At 42.2% G+C, this 20,082-nt stretch overlaps 1 pseudogene; it reads left to right on the top strand.

The window, feature by feature from the left end:
- BMS1P8 (BMS1 pseudogene 8) lies at positions 869-19,834 on the top strand (annotated as a pseudogene).

The following is a 20,082-nucleotide window of genomic DNA, read 5'->3' as shown; positions in this document are numbered from 1 at the left end:
TGGGAACTATAATTGAGCCCAGAGCTCCAAAAACAAATGAAGGAATGAATGAGTGAATAAGCTCTTCCCATGGGTTTGGTGTGGTTTGGGGCTCTACTGTTAATCTAAATGCTATGTTTTATATAATCTAAAATTTCCCCTAGGTGTGTTACATGATTGCGTTGTGTTGAACTTACATTGAGACTCCTTTTCACATATGCTGGTTATCAGCATGGGACTTTTCCATTCACTCTTTGAATTATTCGCTTGGGGGACACAGATAGACCTCTGTGTCTTTCATAAAGAGTGTCCATTGGCCGGGTGCAGTGGCTCATGCCTGTAATCCCAGCACTTTGGGAGGCTGAGGAGGGCAGATCACGAGGTCAGGAGTTCGAGACCAGCCTGGCCAATATGGTGAAATTCCCTCTCTACTAAAAATACAAAAATTAGCCAGGCCTGGTGGCGGGTGCCTATAATCCCAGCTACTCGGGAGACTGAGGTAGTAGAATTGCTTGAACCTGGGAGGCAGAGGTTGCATTGAGCTGAGTTCATGCCACTGCACTCCAGCTTGAGTGACAGAGTGAGACTCCATCTCCTAAAAAACAAAAACAAAAGAGTGTCCATTATCTATACTGGAAAAATTGAGATTGGGATTTTGACATGAAGTGCGGAAATGTGGATTGGGTCCATTTAGTTTACCTAAACAGATGATGAAATACTAACTGTTCTACGAAGCATTCCCTAGTGTAAAGTTTTGCCTGTGTGTGTAGTGACGGGAACAGTGAGAATGAGGCTTGGAACGTGGAGCGCATTGTGGGCCTGTTGTGGGTGGGGCCAGCAGCACATGCATGCCTGGCTCACAGAGCAGCCTTTGGGTGTTCTTTTCCCAGAGGAGCTCTATGGTGACTTTGAAGACTTGGAAACAGGGGACGTGCACAAGGGAAAATCGGGCCCCGATACTCAGGTATGACTTTGTCGTAGCTGGCTGTTCTTGGTCATTGTGTTCTGAGAGAGGCCCACATTGAGAAATGCAAATCTTACTTGTGATGTGTGAAGATTGCAGACTGGATGGATAGATTCCTTCCTAAAGGGTGGGGATGTGGGGACCAAAGAGAAGCTTTCTTGTTTACTTGTTAAGTTTTGGACGACAGTTACTACCATTTCTTGCCATAGTCATTTGCCAAGTCCACTGTGATTTTTCACTCACAGAAGTCTTAGCTTCTCAGACTTACATTCAACCATTGCCATCATTCTCCTCTTTTTAAATTTAAGTGTCATTTAAATGAATGAAGTCCCTGTTCTCCCTAATATTTCTTTAGAACAGGTTCTGGGAGCATCTGGGTGAGGGACATGTCTGTTATTTTTATTCTAGTTTGTGTTCCCAGCCAGCTTAAGGAATAGCAGCTAATTGTAATGCAGATGTAACAATTTCCTGTAGCAGTACCATGTTATTCAGAGAAAAAGGTTGTGTTGTGGTTTGTTTCATTTTATTGATAATGGTAACAGATTTTTGCTAAGATTTTTGTTTAAATAGAACTTTAAAAAATCTAATGTTTAAAGAAAAGACCTTCATAAACATACACAAAATTTTTTCTTCTGGAAATTTAAGAATGAAGATATAGAGAAACAAGGAAGAAATTGACCCCGACAAAGAAGAAAGTGCCAAGAAAAAGCATTTGGATAAGAAGAGAAAATTGAAGGAGATGTTTGATGAGGAATATGATGAAGGAGAAAGCACATATTTTGATGATCTTAAAGGAGAAATGCAGAAACAAGCACAGGTGAGAAACCTCAGTTCCTCTCAGCCCCTTGTCAAGACTATCACATAGTGCAGGAATCCCTGACTTTCTTTGGGTCCCTGCTTCCTATCCTGCTTCTGTGCCTTTCATTTGGACTCCTGGGTAGATGCATGTGAGTGTGTTTATTCATGCAGTGAGCTCATTGTTTCTACAGTCAGAAGGTCACCAGAAAAAGATCCATACCTATTTTGTAACAAGAATTAGGAAACCGAAATGACTGAAACATGGTCTCTACTTTTGAGACTTTTACAATGTAGTGATCTGAGACAGTGTGTTCATTTCAGTGCAAGCCAATGCTGCCTATTCTGATCGCTGCTCCCTGATTTGAGTGGCAGGTGATCAGTGGCCCGTGTGGCTTATGGACACACCAGAGCTCCCAGGGGAAGTGCTCTGAAAACTCATCCTGGTCAGAGTTCAGAAGGACATGTGGAGTATAAGGTCAGATGCGGAGATAAGGGAGATGGTGTGGCCCTCCAGCCTGGGGGTGCTGAGCAGGTTGTTGGAGGCAGTGATCTCACTCTGAAGGAGACAGACACAGAAACATGTGTACAGTTGATGGTGAGCATCTGAGTTGCGTCTTGTTAGCGAGGCCAGGAGTGCCTGTGTAAGCTGGAACAGATTAGGTATATGATTTGTGAAATGGAGTTTCATCCTAGGTCTTCATCTAGTCAAAGTACTGTTTCCTGATTAAGCATTAACTTAGTGGTTGCTAGTCTGTGTTGACCTTTGAAAGGCATGACTAGCCTAACTGAAGTTTTTGCTTCACACCATTTACAATTTAAAACTACCCAGAGCCTTGTGAGCCATTGGAAAAGACTGAATGTTTCACTCTGAAATGGGAGTCCTTGGAGGGTTTTGAGCAGAAGAGAGACATTCAGGTAATCAGATCACTTTGCCAAGAGATCAGTCTGGTAGAGATCAGTCTGGTGGCACAAACCAGAGGGCTGGCAGTGGAGATGAGACAAAGAGTCAAACCTGGATAGAGTTTCTTTGGAAGCTGGGTCAGTAGGATTTCCTGGTGGACTGAATGTGGGGTGTGTGAGAGGAAATGAGGATGGCGACTGGAAGTTCCTGGAAGGATGGGTTGTTGCAGGTTAGATAGGAAACCCTCTGCAGATGTAGTTTTGGGAAGATGATGTTTGGTTCGGCTGGGTATCATGCAGACAAGCGGAGTGTCAAGTCTGGAGAGACAGGTCTGGCCAGGGACTTAGATGTACAGCCCTCAGCATGTAGATGCCACTTAATGCTGTGAGGTGGCCGGGGAGTGAGTGCAGAGTGACTGGGAGGAGCAAGACTGGCATGGGCGAGATGGGGTGATTGCGGCCGTGAGGCCTGAGCAGTGCCTAGGAGGGAGAGGGAGAAGCAGTGTGAGCATGCAGGCATGCAGGAGTCCAGTTGTACACGGAGGCGAAGCACCGTTCAGATCCCCTGCTGTGTTAACTACGGTGAAGGCAGAGTTGACCACTGGAGGAGTCCTTCAGCCTGAAGGCCTTCAGCGATCTTGGCAAACACCAATTTTCATGGATGTAGGAGAATGGGAGCAGAGGAACTGGAGGCTGCAACTGCAGAAAACTTTTGTGGGGTTTTGCTGCAGAGAGAAGCAGAGAAATGAAGCAGTTGTTGGTGGAAGAAGTGGAATCAAAAGGTTTTGAGAAAAGAGAGAGAACAGAGGGAAGAGCTGTTGGAATAAAGTCCAGGAAGAGTGGATGGTGTCTAGTGAGCAAGTGATGTGTGGCCCTGAGTAGAGGCATGAACAAATCATCTGTGCCTGAGCTGCCCATAGAACTTTCTGTGATCATGGAGATGCACGTCTGTGCTTCCCAATATTGTAACACTGGCCGCAGGTTGATATGGGCCACTTCCAGTGTGACTAGTGTGATTGAGGAACTGCATTTTAAATATTATGTAATAGTAATTAATTTTAATTTAAATAGCCACACATAGCTCCTCTATGGGCCAGGTCAGAGCTCTGATAAGGCTGGATATGGGAGGAAACCCTGGTAGAGGGTTGACCGTAGAGGTTCTTTTGGTTTTGGAGTGAATCAGGAAACAGCCATCAGCTGAGTGAAGGTGAGGATGGTGGTGGGTGTTTGAAGACAAGGGAAAAGTGTGAAAGAATTATTTGGAGAGGAAGGAAAGAAGGTGTGGACTGGGGATGTTTCCAGTGTTCAAGCACGCAGGGCTCCACAGTTATCTACATTTGCCGTGCCTTGTAGCAGGAGAGAAGAAAACGGTTGAGACATATTCTGAACAGACTGTAGAGGTAAAATGTGTAGGTTTTTTTTGTTTTTTTGTTTTTTGAGATGGAATCTCGCTCTATTGCCCAGGCTGGAGTGCAGTGGCATGATCTTGACTCACTGCAACCTCCGTCTCCCAGGTTCAAGCGATTCTCTCACCTCTGCCTCCTGAGTAGCTGGGACTACAGGCACGCACTACCACACCCAGCTGATTTTGGTATTTTTAGTAGATATGGGGTTTCACCATGTTGGCGAGGCTGGTTTCAAACTCCTGACCTCATGTGATCTGCCCGCCTCAGCCTCCCAAAGTGCTGGGATTACAGGCATGAGCCACTGTACCCGGCCAAATGTGTAGTATTTTTAATAGGATAAAGCCTACATAATTCTGTCCACAGTTCCTTTACTTAGAAATTGCTCATTTGTTCATGTTAATCCTATGTTTATTACAGATAACAGCATACAGGTTTTTTTCCCCCCCTGTCATGTACAGCTGAATCGCACAGAATTTGAAGATCAAGATGATGAAGCCAGAGTTCCATATGAGGGTTTTCGGCCTGGGGTGTACGTCCGCGTTGAGATTGAAAATGTTCCCTGTGAATTTGTGCAGAACTTTGACCCCCATTACCCCATTATCCTGGGTGGCTTGGGCAACAGTGAGGGAAATGTTGGAGACGTGCAGGTGGGTCCCTTTGCTGCATATTTGGTGCCTAAGGCTCTGTGGATTTCCCCTCCATCAATCATCTTACACTCTCATCCCCCTCAGATGCATCTGAAGAAACATCGCTGGTATAAGAAAATCCTCAAGTCCCGAGATCCAATCATATTTTCTGTAGGGTGGAGGAGGTTTCAGACCATCCCGCTCTATTATATCGAAGACCATAATGGAAGACAAAGGCTTCTAAAGTATACCCCACAGCACATGCATTGCGGAGCAGCCTTTTGGGGTAAAATATGATTACAATAACTTGCCTATTGCCGAGATTAAACCTTACAGGCTGTGTTATTTTAGCTTTGTGCTTTTCCTTTCATAAAATTCCACTTCTAAGATTTTTCTCTTTTCTGGGAGCAGGGAGGTGGTTTGGAGTATATATGTAAATCTATATCCAAATCTAAATGTCCATATCCAGTATGTTAAACTAGAATCTAAAATTTGTGGTTTGCTATATTTCTTTTTTTCCTTTTCCTTTAAGACCCTGTCACTCCACAGGGAACTGGTTTCTTGGCAATACAGTCTGTCAGTGGCATAATGGTAACTATCTTGGATGATTTCTTTTACAGATTGGTTTGAGAAATATATCCTGAATATGGGTTATTATGTACATCAGACTTTAAGTTGAAAATTACACATTTTTATTAATATAAAGTAAATTTCCCTTTGCTTTTAATCTTTGTACATCCTTTTCAGTAGGGTGTGGGATTAGAGGAGGGGAGGTGGAAGAATTATGATGGTACATTTCCTATTTTTGTGCATCTTTTGCATTTATTCATCTAAGGAGGTACTTAAGCAGTGCTCACCATGTGCTAAGCACTATATGAGGTTGTGAGGAGCCATCAGAGACCACCCAGATACAAGACTCCCTGCAGCTGTGCTGGGGTAGCAGTCTGTTCACTCCATTTTCATTTGACCAGTCAGGCAGGGCAGGGTTTACTGGTCCCATTTAACAGAGAAGGAAGCAGAATAATGAGCAGATGGAATCTTCCCTGGAGGTCCAAATTTTAGTTTCCTAAACATTGCAACTGTATTTTTCTTTTCCATTTCGTTCCAAATAAATCATTATAGTAAAATTACATTCCTCTGAAATCACTCTCAGGAAAGTACTCAAGTAGCCTTTTTTTTTTTTTTTTTTTTTTTGAGAGAGTCACACTCTGTCGTCCAGGCTGGAGTGCAGTGGCACGATCTTGGCTCGCTGCAACCTCTGCCTCCTGGGTTTAAGTGGTTCTCCTGCCTCAGCCTCCCGAGTAGCTGGAATTACAGGTATGCACCATCATGCTGAGCTAATTTTTGTATTTTTAGTAGAGACGGGATTTAGCCATGTTGGCCAGACTGGTTTCAACCTTCTGACCTCAGGTGATCCACCTGCCTTGGCCTCCCAAAGTGCTGGGATTACAGGTATGAGCCACTGTGCCCGGCCTCAAGTCACTCTTGTTAGTTTGGCTTACCAACTTTAAAGTTTTGGATTGCTTTTGTCAAACCACTGGGTTGCAAGTTCAGATGGTCTCTCTTGTTTTTCTTAGCTAATTGTAAGTAAAATTCACTTTGGTAATTTATTGTGTCAAATAGAATTGAAGTTTTTCTCTTGCTAATATTTTTCCTATTTTCAAATTTTGGGGTTCCTGTTAGCCTGATTTTCGGATAGCTGCCACAGGAGTTGTCCTTGATCTGGATAAATCCATAAAAATTGTGAAGAAATTAAAGCTAACTGGTTTTCCATATAAAATTTTCAAGAACACTTCATTTATTAAGGTCTGTATATCTATATATTCTCAAATTTATAAATGTCCATATTGTTTGAGAAAAGGAATGAAATACGTCTAAAATATGGGCCTCATATTTTTAGAAAAGTGTTTGAAATCTTTTATAAACTTCATATTTTGTTTGCTCCTTTATATTCTGTATTACTTAAATATGCTCAAAAAAGCAGAGGTAAACAGCTATTTAGGAATTGAGGCTGTTACTCCTGACTTCCATGTGAGACTGCCACAGAACTCATATTGAAAATATGTCATTTTATCCACTAGGTTTTGTTTCCTACTTTTTAAATTTGTGTTAAGAAAGGGAAAAAAATCACAAGTTTGTCTAACTCAGTAGAAAAATTGACAAAGCATTTGCAAACAACTTGGCAAGGGTACAGAGAAACGGATGTACTGTTTTTCAGTATTTGGGGAGGGTGGTTTGAGCACATTTATTGACAATTTCATTAGTGAGGATGTTTCTATTGAAAACACAGAGTTAGGAAGTCTTAAAATGTTCTTGGAATATAAAGTAATAATACCACCGGCGTTTATCTTACTGTTTTCGTGTTCTAAGTGCATGCATCTAAGTAAAAGGATCTGGGCTGCAGTCCAGTCTGAGAGATGCCAGCAAAGGCTTCCTAGGCCAGTTCAGTCCAGTAAATCCCTCTTCGATCTTCTCTTCCACACAGACAGCAGTGATGAGCATGCCCATGAACTCACATGATTATTTTGGGGAAAATGAAAGAGTTGTATTCTTTTTGAGGTAGTAATTCCACTTTCAGGGGCAAATACATTTTGATTATTTTATCACCCTTCAGTGAGTTGTTTTTGTTCTTTAATCAAGGATGTATGTTTGAAGTAAGAAGTAAAGCATAAAGTATACGATTTTGTGTGTGTGTGTGTTTTTATCTTGCTATACCTGTAGGGAATATTTAATTCTGCCTTGGAAGTGGCCAAATTTGAAGGTGCTGTGATTTGAACTGTCAGTGGGATAAGGGGGCAGATCAAGAAAGCACTCTGTGCTCCAGAAGGAGCTTTCCGGGCCAGCTTTGAGGATAAGCTGCTGATGAGCGGTGAGTGTCTTAAGTAGTGTTCAGGGCAGGGTATTACCATTCATGCTTGACTTCTAGCCAGTATGACGAGAGGCTGGAGTCAGGTCTCCAGAGAGTTGAGCAGCTCCAGCCTTAGATCTCCCAGTCTTATGCGGTGTGCCCATTCGCTTTGTGTCTGCAGTACCCTGGCCACACCCAGTAACAGTTCTGTGATCTATGAGAATAGTTTCCTTAGCGAGCTTTCCCTTCAAATACTTTGCAGCCAGGTAGAGAAGTTTGGAGTGAAGGTTTTGTTCTTTTGTTTCTTCGCAATATGGATATGAATCTTCTTTTGAAAATGTTAAAGTAAATTACCTCTTTTCAGATATTGTCTTCATGCGAACTTGGTATCCTGTTTCCATCCCAGCCTTCTATAACCCAGTAACATCTTTGTTGAAACCAGTGGGTGAGAAAGACACCTGGTCAGGAATGTGGACCACGGGCCAACTCAGGCTCGCCTATGGTGTCAGACTAAAGGCAAATAAGGACTCTCTGTATAAGGTACTGGTCGTGTGTGTGTTAGTGGAGATGAAGCCTGTGCTCTACAGACAGGGAGTCACACAGACACTTTTCTATAATTTCTTACGTACTTTGAATATTCAAGTATAAAGTCTAACGTTAAATTTGATTGAACAATTGTATATTTGTGGGATATTTTGGAATGGAACACCAAAAAATGGTAATAGTGGTTCTTTCTGGATTGAAGACAAACTTTTCTTTTTTAAAATAAATTTTATTTTATATATTTGAGGTTGACAATGTGATCTTAAAGGATACATATAGATAGTAAACTGGTTACTATAGTGAAGCAAATTAACATAGCTACCATCTCACATAGTTAGATTTTTGTTTGTGTGACAGGAACAGCTAAAATCTACTTATTTAACAAAAATCCCAAAGACAATATATTTTTATTAACTGTAGACCTCATGATGTACACTAGATCTCTAACTTGTTCATCCTACATGTCTGCTACTTTGTATTATTTTAATGTACATCTCCCCATTTCCTATTGGTCATTTCCTATTTGGCCCATTTTTCAACTGGGTTGTTTTTCTGCTATTAAGTTGTAAGAGTTCTTTACTGATTTTTGGATATTAACACTTTATCAGATATGTGGTTTGCAAATATTTCTTCCAGTCTGTAGGTTCCCCTTTCATTTTGTTGGTTGTGCCTTTGCTGTGCAGAAGCTTTTTAGTTTGATGCAGTCCTTCTTGTTTATGTTTACATTTGTAGCCTGGCTTGTGGTGCAATATCCAAAAAATTATTGCTAAGGCCAATGTCAAGAGGCTTTCCCCCTATGTTTTCTTCTAGGAGTTTTATGGTTTCAGGTCTTATTTGGGTCTTTGGTCTTGTATCTGTTTTGAGTTGATTTTTGTGTATGGTGTATGATCAGGGTCCAATTTTATTCTTTTGCATGTGAAAATCCTATTATTGAAGAGACTATCTTTTTTACCATTGTGTTGTCTTGTTTGCCCTTGTCAAAAATTAGTTGACAGTATATGTTTGGATTTATTTCAAAGGTCTCTGTTCTGTTCCATTTGTCTATTTTTTTGTTTTTATGCCAGCACCATACTGTTTTGATTACTATAGCTTTGTAATACAATTTTAAATCAAGAGGTGTGATGCCTCCAACTTTTTCTTTCACAGTAATCTGTTGGCTGTTTGGGGTTTTTTGTGGTTCCATATGAGTTTCAGGATTGTTTTTTCTTTTCTTTTCTTTTCTTTTTTTTTTTTTTTTTGAGGCAAAGTCTCACTCTGTTGCCCAAGCTGGAGTGCAGTGGCATAATCTCGGCTCACTGAAACCTCTGCCTCCTGGATTCAAGCAATTCTTCTGCCTCAGCCTCCCAGGTAGCTGGGACTACAGGCATATGCCACTATGCCCGGCCAATTTTTGTAGTTTTAGTAGAGACAGGGTTTCACTATGTTGGCCAGGCTGGTCTCCAACTCCTGACCTTGTGATCCGCCCACCTGCAGTCTCCCAAAGTGCTGGAATTACTTTGGGAGCCACTGTGCCTGGCCAGGATTGTTTTATTCTGTTCTGTGAAGAATACCATCAGAACTTTGATGAGGATTGTGTTAAATCTGTATATTTGCTTTGGGTAGTGTGAACATTTTAACAATATTAATTCTTCTGATCCATAAACATAGGATGTCTTTCCATTTGTTCATGTCTAAATTTCTTTCATCAATGTTTTATGGTTTTCAAGTGTACACATCTCTCACCTTCTTGGTTAAATTTATTCCTAAGTTTTTGTTTTTCTTTGATGCTATCATAAATGAGATTATTTTCTTGATTGCTTCGTCAGCTAGGTTATTTGTATATAGAAATGCAACTGATTTTTATATGTTGAGTTTATACCTTGCAGCTTAACTAAATTGATTTAGTAGTTCTCACAGTTTTTTGTGGAATCTTTGGAGTTTTTTACGTAAAGGATCTTGTCATCTGCAAATAGAGATAATTTTACTTCTTTAATTTAGTTGCCTTTTTTTTCTCATCTGATTGCTCTTGCAAGTACTCTACTGAATAAAAGTGATGAGGCTGGCCATCCCTATCTTGTACTCAATCTTAGTGGAAAAGCTTTAGTTGTTCCCCACTAACTATGATTAGACTGGGTTTTTCATAAATGGTCTTTATTATGTTGAGGAACTTTCCTTCTATACATAAACTATTAAGAGGTTTTATCAAGAAAGGTTGCTAAACTTTGTTAAATGCTTTTACTGCATCAATTGAGGTGACCATGTCGTTTTATCTTTCATTTTGTTAATGTGATATATCACATTGATTGATTTACATAGTTTTAACCAGCCTTGCATGCCAGGGGTAAATCCCACTTGAACACGATGTATAATGTTTTCGATGTGTTGTTGAATTCTATTTGCTAAAAATTTTTTAGGATGTTTGCATCAGTGTTTAATTTATTGGAGAAGTTGACCTGTAGTTTTTGTTTGTTTGGTGTGTGTGTGTGTGTGTGTGTGTGTGTGTGTGTGTTTTGGTTTGGCTTAGGTATTAAGGTGATACTGGCCTGGTAAAATGTGTTTGGAATTATTTCCTCTTGCTCTGTTTTTGCGAAGAGTTTAAGAAGTAAACTCCAGGGGATGGGAGTGACTCTGGACATGGGAGTGACATGATAGTGACGCTGGACCCTGCAGTGATGGGACACAGCAGCACCTCAGTCTCTGTGAGACCAGGCGCAGCATCAACAAGGACCCCAGAATGGTGGAGCACGACTGTGGCTTGGGCCCTCAGGGGCAGGGACCAGTGCAGCAACTACTTCTCTCCCTGGGGAGGCAGGTGCCTGGGCAACTCAGATTCTCCAGGGCTAGTCCAGTTCCAAGGAAGCAGGGTTCTACAGTTGTTTGTCCTGAAGGGCAAGGTACCCCAGTTCAGCCAATGCTGTTTTCCCGGGATATGGGGGTGCCATGTTGGCTCATCCCTGGCAGGTGTGGCTGCTCAGCTCAGCCAAGACACTGATTCCCTGTGAAGCAGGGCAGTGCTTCAGCTCTCGTGCAGTGGGGGGTGTGACTGCTCAGACTGGCCAAGGCACTGATTCCCTGGAAAGCAGGGCACCAAGTCAGCTCAGGCTCCAAGGGGCAGGGCACAATGGCAGCTGGGAGGGGAGGGGCACAGCAGTGTGGCCCCGCAGGTGCGGTGTATGCTGTGATGTGGACATCATTTGTTCCCACCAGCCATTTGAAATTTCATCCATTTGAAATTTGATTCCAAATGTGGTGGTGTGGGAGGTGGGGCCTAGTGGGAGGTATTTGGGTCACAGGGCAGATCCTTTATGAATAGATTAATGCCTTTTCATGGGACTGGATTAGTTACCAGGAGTGGATTGTTATCAGAGTGAGTTCGGCTTCCTAGACTCTCGTGTTTCCTCTCTTGCCATGTGAGCCCCTTGCATACACCTGTTTCGCCTTCCACTTTCCCCATGAGATGAAGCAGCACAAGACCCTCGCCAGTTGTGCTGCCCGATCTCGGACTTTTCAGACACAAGCAGGGTGAGCCAAATAAACCTTTTTTATAAAATAAGTTACCCCGAGTCTCAAGTATTCTGTTACAGCCACACTAAATGGCCTAAGACAGTGTAACAGTGGCTCGGGGGTGGTGGGCCACTAGGTGGGTGTGATATAGAGCAACAAAGCCTGAGGATGGAAGAAGGGTGCGGTGGCTGCTCACCCTGGGTGGGACATGCTCCCGAAGTGGTCCAGGTCCAGGAGGGCACGTTGCAGCAGCAGCTGGTCCATGGGGGTGGGGCACAATGTCAGTTCCTTCTCTGAGGGGAGTGCTGGGGCTACTGGGCCCCTCTTGCTTCCTTATCCCTGCAGGGAGACATCCCCTCTGCTTCAGGCTGATCCCTCTGGGGGAATGGGTGGTGGGGGCCAGATGTTTCCTTCCCTCCTTTATGTGACCATCCTGGTTTTCTGTGCTCTACTGGATTTCTGCTACTCCTTGATGCACTCTGGGGCTCTCTTTTAGTGACTTTCATCAAAATATAGTTGTTTGCTGCTTTGGCTGTCTTTGTCAGGGGATGAGTGCAAGGGGCTATTGATCAGCCCCTTGCTGGCGTCACTCCCTCTTAAACTTTTCACTGGGTACTCTTTTGAACTATTTTTTCCCCCACCGTATACATGTATTTTTTTAAATGTTAATGTGCTAATTTCTACTGAAGCAATGTGGATTTTTCTGAAAGCTTTAATGTTTTAATAAGCTTTTTATTGAAATGTTAATGTCCATACAGAAGAGTGCCCAAATCATAAGTGTGCATCTAGATGAACTATAGCACACCAGGCTGCCACGCCCTGGACCAAGCAGTAGCCTTGACCTGTGGCCTCTCCCAGGCACTGCTGCCCCAACCCACAAAATAGCTACTTTCCCAGTTCCTGATGTAGATTTGTTCTACCTGGTTTTGACTTCTATAAAATACAGCATATTCTATTTAGCCTGGCTTCTTTGGTTCAGTATTACAGAATACATCTGTGTTCTTGTCTATGGCAGATACTGATTTATTGTCATTGTTGAGTTCCATTATATGACTGTGTCACCATTTTTCCATTGATGAGTAAAGTGATTTCCTATTTTTGGCTGTTATCCCACGGCCCTGAACACTAGGTCTGGATATGGGACTTGCAGGTATGCAGGGGCACACACACTTCTGCTGGGGGATCCCTGGGTGGGGTGGAGACTCCAGGGCACCTGTGCTCTGCTTCAGTGTGGAGGGTTCTGTGTCGTGTTCTGGGAGCACAGTGGCTTGGCCTCCACCACCAGCAGCAGCTTAAAGAGTTCCTGCTGTTCCACATGCTTGCCAACAATTGGCCTCTTGAGTTTTTTTTTTTTTTTTTAAGTTTTCAGTGCCTGCCTGGACTTGTGTTTTCATTTAGATTTTGGTTTCTTAGAACTTTTGTTTTTCTCTTCACAGCTTAACAATGCATTTGAAAAGATTTGTTTTCATGTGGAGTATTCAGTTTTGTAATAAGAGGGTTGTTCAAGGCATCACTCTGCCACTCTGCTAGAAACAGAAGTCTCCCAGGCATTTCTTTTTATATAAAGTAGTTAATGAAATTTTGAACCATCTTACATGAATTTTTATTAAAATACACTTCTGGATGTGGTGCCCATTATCCATTCTACTCTTTTGTAACAAGTAGATTTCTCTGAATTCTTGAATTTGAAAACAACTGGGGTTCCTAAACAGAGAATATGGAATATTATTAGGGATGATGTCTTTAATAATATATTTCAAGACAGGAGAAACTTTTTCTATATAGTTGACTTTAATAAAAAGCTTAGGGCAAAACTTTCAATATATTAACAGTATTTATGAGGCAGTTAAGAATTTGGGTCATCTCCATTTCTGCTAAAAATACAAAAAATTAGCCAGGTGTGGTGGCGGGCATCTGTAGTCCCTGCTACTTGGGAGGCTGAGGCAGGAGAATGGTGTGAACCCGGGAGGCGGAGGTTGCAGTGAGCCGAGATCATGCCACTGCACTTTAGCCTGGGCGACAGAGCAAGACTCCATATCAAAAAAAAAAAAAAAAAAAAAAAAAAGAATTTAGGTCATCTCAATTAAACATAGAATTTAAGATTATGTTGAAAATTCAGTACAGAGTATTTTGCCTTCATCTGTTGTTTGAGTCTCCCTTCTTTTAGCCATCCTTCCATCAGAAATAGAATACCAACTTAAACTTCTTAATTAGAATCAGGAATCAGGACTCTTTGGCTGCTGATTGGAGGAAGAACTGTCCTTAAATCCAGAGTGGGCCGGGCATGGTGGCTCATGCCTGTAATCCTAGCACTTTGGGAGGCCAAGGCAGGTGGATCACCTGAGGTCAGGAGTTCAAGACCAGCATGACCAACATGGTGAAACCCCATCTCTACCGAAAATACAAAAATTAGCCGGGCGTGGTGGTGTGTGCCTGTAGTCCCAGATACTTGGGAGGCTGAGACAGGAGAATTGCTTGAACCTGGGAGGTGGAGGTTGTGTGAGTCAAGATCGCACCACTGCACTCTAGCCTGGGTGACAGGGCGAGACTCCATCTCAAAAAAAAAAAAAATCCAGAGTGGTTGGTAGTCAAGACAAAAAGCTAGATTATTTTTGTTAGTCTGAGAACTAAGCACCTTAGTGGCCCAAAGACAAGGCCTGAAATTTCCATGAAAAGAAACTGGGATCTGTTCATCTGTTCTGTTGAGACCTCATAGTTCCATACCATAGAAATAGGCACAGTGGGTTTCGGGGGGAGAGTTGTAAGTATAAGCTCTCTGTACCTCTGTTTACTGTTTAGTGAGAATTTGGGTGTCCACTGAGGCAGTTCATACTTGGCGGATGATTGAGTCCTGATTTCTCAGGGCCAGCAGACTCTGGTGTTACTGATCTTGTGGAAAAGTCAACCCAATGAGAAGATTTTATGCAGAAGTTTTAAATGCACATTGATCATAATTTGAATATGTCACAGTCTTTATTTTTCTTTTCAGCCAATCCTGAGGCAAAAGAAACATTTTAATTCACTGCACATTCCAAAAGCCTTGCAGAAGGCCCTGCCATTTAAGAACAAGCCCAAGGCCAGGCGCGGTGGCTCACGCCTGTAATCCCAGCACTTTGGGAGGCTGAGGCGGGCGGATCACGAGGTCAGGAGATCGAGACCATCCTGGCTAACATGGTGAAACCCTGTCTCTACTAAAAGTACAAAAAATTAGCCAGGTGTTGTGGTGGGCGCCTGTAGTCCCAGCTACTTGGGAGGCCGAGGCAGGAAAATGGCGTGAACCTGGGAGGCAGAGCTTGCAGTGAACTGAGATCGGGCCACTGCACTCCAGCCTGTGCGACAGTGCGAAACTCTGTCTCAAAAAAAAAGAAAAAAGAAAAAATAAAAAACAAACCCAAGACCCAAGCAAAGGACAGGCGGAGACTGGCCGTCATGCGTGAGCCTCATGAAAGAAAGGTACTGTCGCCCATGCCGTACTGCACGCTGCATTTAGATAGGAAAAGAACACTCTCAGTAGCACACTTCCTGTTTCTACTGCAGTCTCAGTTATTCAGGGCACTGGAACTAAAGTCAGAGGAAGAGCTGGAGTCAATTTCCCTTCCTTTGCCTGGTCCTGCTCTGCCCTGTTCTTTTGATGGGGTATAACAGGCACATGACTGGGGAACCCTTCTGTCTTGGTTAGCTGCACACAGTGTCCACAGAATGATGAACAGAGGTAGTAAAGGTAAAATGCGATCACACTTGTGTCTCCATGCCAACAATGACTTCCTAGCGCAGGATGCATTTTCATGCGGTTAATATTCATTTGGATCGTGGGTTGCCTCTAGTCTTAGTGCTTAGGATGTGAGTGTGTGGTGGCTGAGAGCATTCTGATACTCACCGGCTTTTGTCCTTGTCAGATCCTCACACTGCTGGATGCTCTGAGTATGGTGCACAGTCAGAAGATGAAGAAGGCCAAGGAGCAGCGGCACCTGCACAATAAAGAGCACTTCAGAGCCAAGCAGAAGGAGGAGGAGGAGAAGCTGAAGTGGCAGAAGGACCTCAGGAAGAAGCTCTTCCAAATTCAGGGGCAGAAGGAAAGAAGAAACCAGAAGTCCAGTTTGAAGGGGGCTGAGGGCCAGTTTCAGTGAGCCTTTGGACTGGAGGGACTGTCCCTGGATCTGCAGAGGTGGACAGTTTCAAACATCACAGTTTGAATGCCTGTGAATGACAAGTCAGTGGGCAAGAACTCAAGAGATGTCTCTACACAAACTGTGCCTGCAAGAGGAACAGAGAAGCCTGGACTACTTGGACCGGGTTCATTCTCATCACTTGGGGCTGTCGAGATTTAAAGTGATGTAAGCTGTGGTTGTGTGGATTCTCTTACTTTCCTCTGCCTGCCTCAGTTTAATTATTTTGTCCTGCAAAAATACCATTAAATTTTTTTTTGTTAGTTTTGGCTTAGTAGTTTTCATTAGGGATGAATGCCTGACAATTCTTTGTGGATAATTATTTATGCTACCACCTTCATGAGGAGTCTTCCAGAAGAGAAAGAAATATTCACTTGAACCCTCAGCTCTCATGCAAAATTTTAGAGAAGAGTGTGTAGTGTTTTTATTGTGTTTTTTGTTTGAGTGACACACAAACCTAGATGGTACAGCCTACTCTGCACCTGGGATCTATGGGTTCCTTTGATCACTGGCCCTCGTGGACATTTTCTATCTTATGTCATATGTTCTGCACATTAGTATAGTGACAAGGTAACAGTAAGTACTTTTTTAAAGCTTTAGACTTAGGAGATTGTTGTCTCATGTGCAGAGACCAAGGAAATTGTATGTATCAGTGAGATAGGCTTCCCATATTATGCTCATGCGTTATACCTGCCTAGCTACATTGCCTTTTTTTAAATTAAACATTATATTGATGTAATCATACTATTACATAGGCGATATATGTATTTTATGATTGTATGTTGATATAGTTATGGGGAATCTAATCCTATACGATGTAATCATAGATTCACATATAGTTGTATATTTTGCCCAATTTCTTTCAGTGGTAATGTTTCACACATATCACAATCAGGATGTTGACATCAATACAGCCCACTGATTTTATTCACCTTTCCTCAGCTTTACTTTCCCCAAGTATACTCCTCCAGGTATGCATGGGTGTGTAGAAATATGGAACGCAGCTGGGCACAGTGACTCACGCCTGTAATCCCAGCACTTTGGGATGCTAAGGCAGGAGGATCCCTTGAGCCCAGGAATTTGAGACCAACTTGGGCAACATGGCAAAACCTCATCTCTACAAAAAATAAAAAATTCACCTGGTGTGGTGGTGCATACCTGTAGTTCCAGCTGCTTGGGAGGCTGAGGTAGGAGGATCACTTGAGTTCGGGAGGTTGAGGCTGCAGTGAGCCATGATAGCACCACTGCACTCCGGCCTGGGTGACAGGGCAAGACCCTGTTTCAAAAAAAAAAAACTTATATATATATATGTATGTATGTAGAACACTTCATGAATTTGTGTCATCTGTGCATGGGGCCCATGGTGACCTCTGTGTTGTACCAGTTATAGTATGTGCGCTGCTGATAGGAGTACCACATTGCCTTTACAACATCATAGGGGCCAAAGAGGGTCGGCAGGATTATGAGCAGTTGGCCCTAGTCTGAGAGGCTCTCTAAAAACCTAAAGTTGTCAGCAGACAGGTGCTCAGCTTTGTATCTCCATAAGAAGGGAAGAGGATGTGAAGATCCTGTCAGGGCTGGGTCCACTTGGGAAGTGACAATTGGAACATGCCCAGACCTCTCTGAGCAACTCTGGGTGTACATTTTCCTCTATTCCTCAAGAGCTATTGTGAATTTGATCATCCAGTATGCTGATAGGCCTGGGGACTGACACATAGTAAGCCCATAACAATTATAATTTAAAACTAATTTGTTATATAGCATAATTGATATATTTTAAAATGCAAAACTATAATTCAACTAAAATATACAAGGCACTCTAAGTCATACCATGTTTTAAGTAGCTTACAAGGTGATCAGCAAGTGTCTTATACAAAAAGCAAATTTGTTCAAAGAGAAGCCTTGCAAATAAGTATTTATAATTGTATGGTTTTATATTTTAGCCAGAAGAGTGAAATTGTTTAGCAATGGGGGAAATAAAAGAATGTTTAATTACAGTTGCAGATAATTGCCTTTTCCAAAGACAATGTATGTAGGCAGAAGTCATACCTGTTAATATTAAAAATCTTGGTTTATCATATTTGGAGAACAAGGGAAATAAAAAGTTTGTATATCAAGATTATTTAAAACTAAAGGAATCTCTAATGTCTGAAAGAAACAATAAATAGCATTTTCTATGTAGAATTTTTATTGGTGAAGGTTCCACCTGGCCAGGTTAGTAAAATACAGTCACGCATCAGTTAAGGATGGGGATATATTCTGAGAAATGTATCATTTAGGCAATTTTTTCATTGTGTAAACATCATAGAGTGACACGCAAACCTAGATGGTACAGCCTACTGTGCACCTGGGCTCTATGGTATGGCCTATTGCTCCTAGGCTACAAACCTGGGCAGCATGTGACTGTACTGACTACTGTAGGCAGTTGTAACACAGTGGTAAATATTTGTGTATCGAAATATAGAAAAGGCATAGCAAAAATACAATATTGTGGAACCACTGCCGTATATGTGGTCCATCCTTGACTGAACGTCGTGCAGCATGTGGCTATATGTATACACATAGTTTTTGCTGTGAGTTTGCATCCATCTCATAGGAAGACATATATCAAAATAAGGACCAGACTGGAGAGTGTGTAAATTACTTTTCAATACTAATGGCTTATTAATTTGATATTGTCACAAGTATGTTGCAAAAATAAATTCCACCAGAATGTGAGTTCCGTGAGAGCAGGAACTGGGTTGTTCACCTTGTTGGCACTTGGAGTAGAGCCACTGAGCATCGTGCGGCATAAAATTGCTTGGAAGAAAGAAGGGAGGGCATTCCAGGTAACCGAAGCATTGCTATGCAAAGTAAGCATTTGCCCTCTGAACTATTTTAACAATTTTTATAGAAACCTTTCTCAATTGCATTAAACTTTGTAAATTGTAAAAATTATTCTGTTGTACCTTTCTATCTTTTTACTATGCACAGGCAGCCATAGGTGCTGGGTATGTTTTGAAAACATATTGAACCTATAGTGTACGTATCTTTCCATGCCATTAAATATTCTTATTTAATCATAGATGTGTTCAGGTGTGTTTGGTTTCCTATTTGTGGATGTACTAGATTGTTTTCTTTTTTTAACAAAACCTGTGAACTTGCTTTAAGTATTATCATTTGGTGACATGGCTGCCATTTCAGAAATAAATGTTTGAGCAAACAGGAAAGCCACCGGGTCTGATTCAGCTCTCTGGAGGCTTCAGAGCTTACCCCGCTGACGGGAAAAGAGCATCGATTTAATTGCCCTTGGTACTGACTTCTAGTGTCTAGTATTTTGCCAGACTCAGGTATTTCTTAAAGCCATTATTCAGAGTCTTCAGCAAGGACATTGTATTTTATTTGTGTCTTCTTAGTTTTACCTAGTTTATTTCATGGTTTTAAAGTATTGTACATTTTTATAATCCTCTAACAAGACAAAAGGTTAAGATGTTGGACATTTAAATGCCAAAGGTGTTTTTTTTTTTTTTTTTTTTTTTTGAGACGGAGTCTCGCTCTGTCGCCCAGGCTGGAGTGCAGTGGCGGGATCTCGGCTCACTGCAAGCTCCGCCTCCCGGGTTCACGCCATTCTCCTGCCTCAGCCTCCCAAGTAGCTGGGACTACAGGCGCCCGCCACTATGCCCGGCTAATTTTTTGTATTTTTAGTAGAGACGGGGTTTCACCGTTTTAGCCGGGATGGTCTCGATCTCCTGACCTCGTGATCCGCCCGCCTCGGCCTCCCAAAGTGCTGGGATTACAGGCGTGAGCCACCGCGCCCGGCCGCCAAAGGTGTTTTATTATGAGACTTAGAATTTCATATTTGGGGATGGTACCTTATTATTGAAAATCAGATAAACTTTGGTTGGGTGGGTATTTGGAGGAATCTTTTAAGTCTTTTCTTAAGCAAAGTTTGGACATTCTAAAATAAGGTTGCCAACTGGCATGTAGAGAGAGAAGGATGTGTCATACATTTAGACCAGGTGGCCTGTCCTGTAACTTTTTTGTGGGGGAGGGGTGGGCTTGTTTTTTGTGTGTTTTGGTTTTTTCCAATTTTTGTTTGGTGATAAAATATGCATAATAAAACTTATTTTATCAATTTTTAATTGTATGAGTCGGTGGCATTAATTACCTTCACAGTGCTGTTGCAGCCATCTTCAGAGCCTTTCCATCATCCCAAACTGAAACTTTGTACCCATTAAACAACATCTCCTCATTCCCTCCTTCCCCCAGCCCCTGCAATCACCATTCTGTTTTCTGTCTCTGAGTGACTACTCTAGATACATTTGCAAACGGAATCATACAATATTTGTCTTTTTGTGTCTTGTTTATTTCACTTAGCATACTGTCTTCA

Source organism: Homo sapiens, chromosome 16 (genome assembly GCF_000001405.40).
Source record: "Homo sapiens chromosome 16, GRCh38.p14 Primary Assembly".
NCBI lineage: Eukaryota > Metazoa > Chordata > Mammalia > Primates > Hominidae > Homo > Homo sapiens.
Note: the sequence above shows the minus strand (reverse complement) of the source record. Positions and strands in the feature narration are given on the sequence as shown.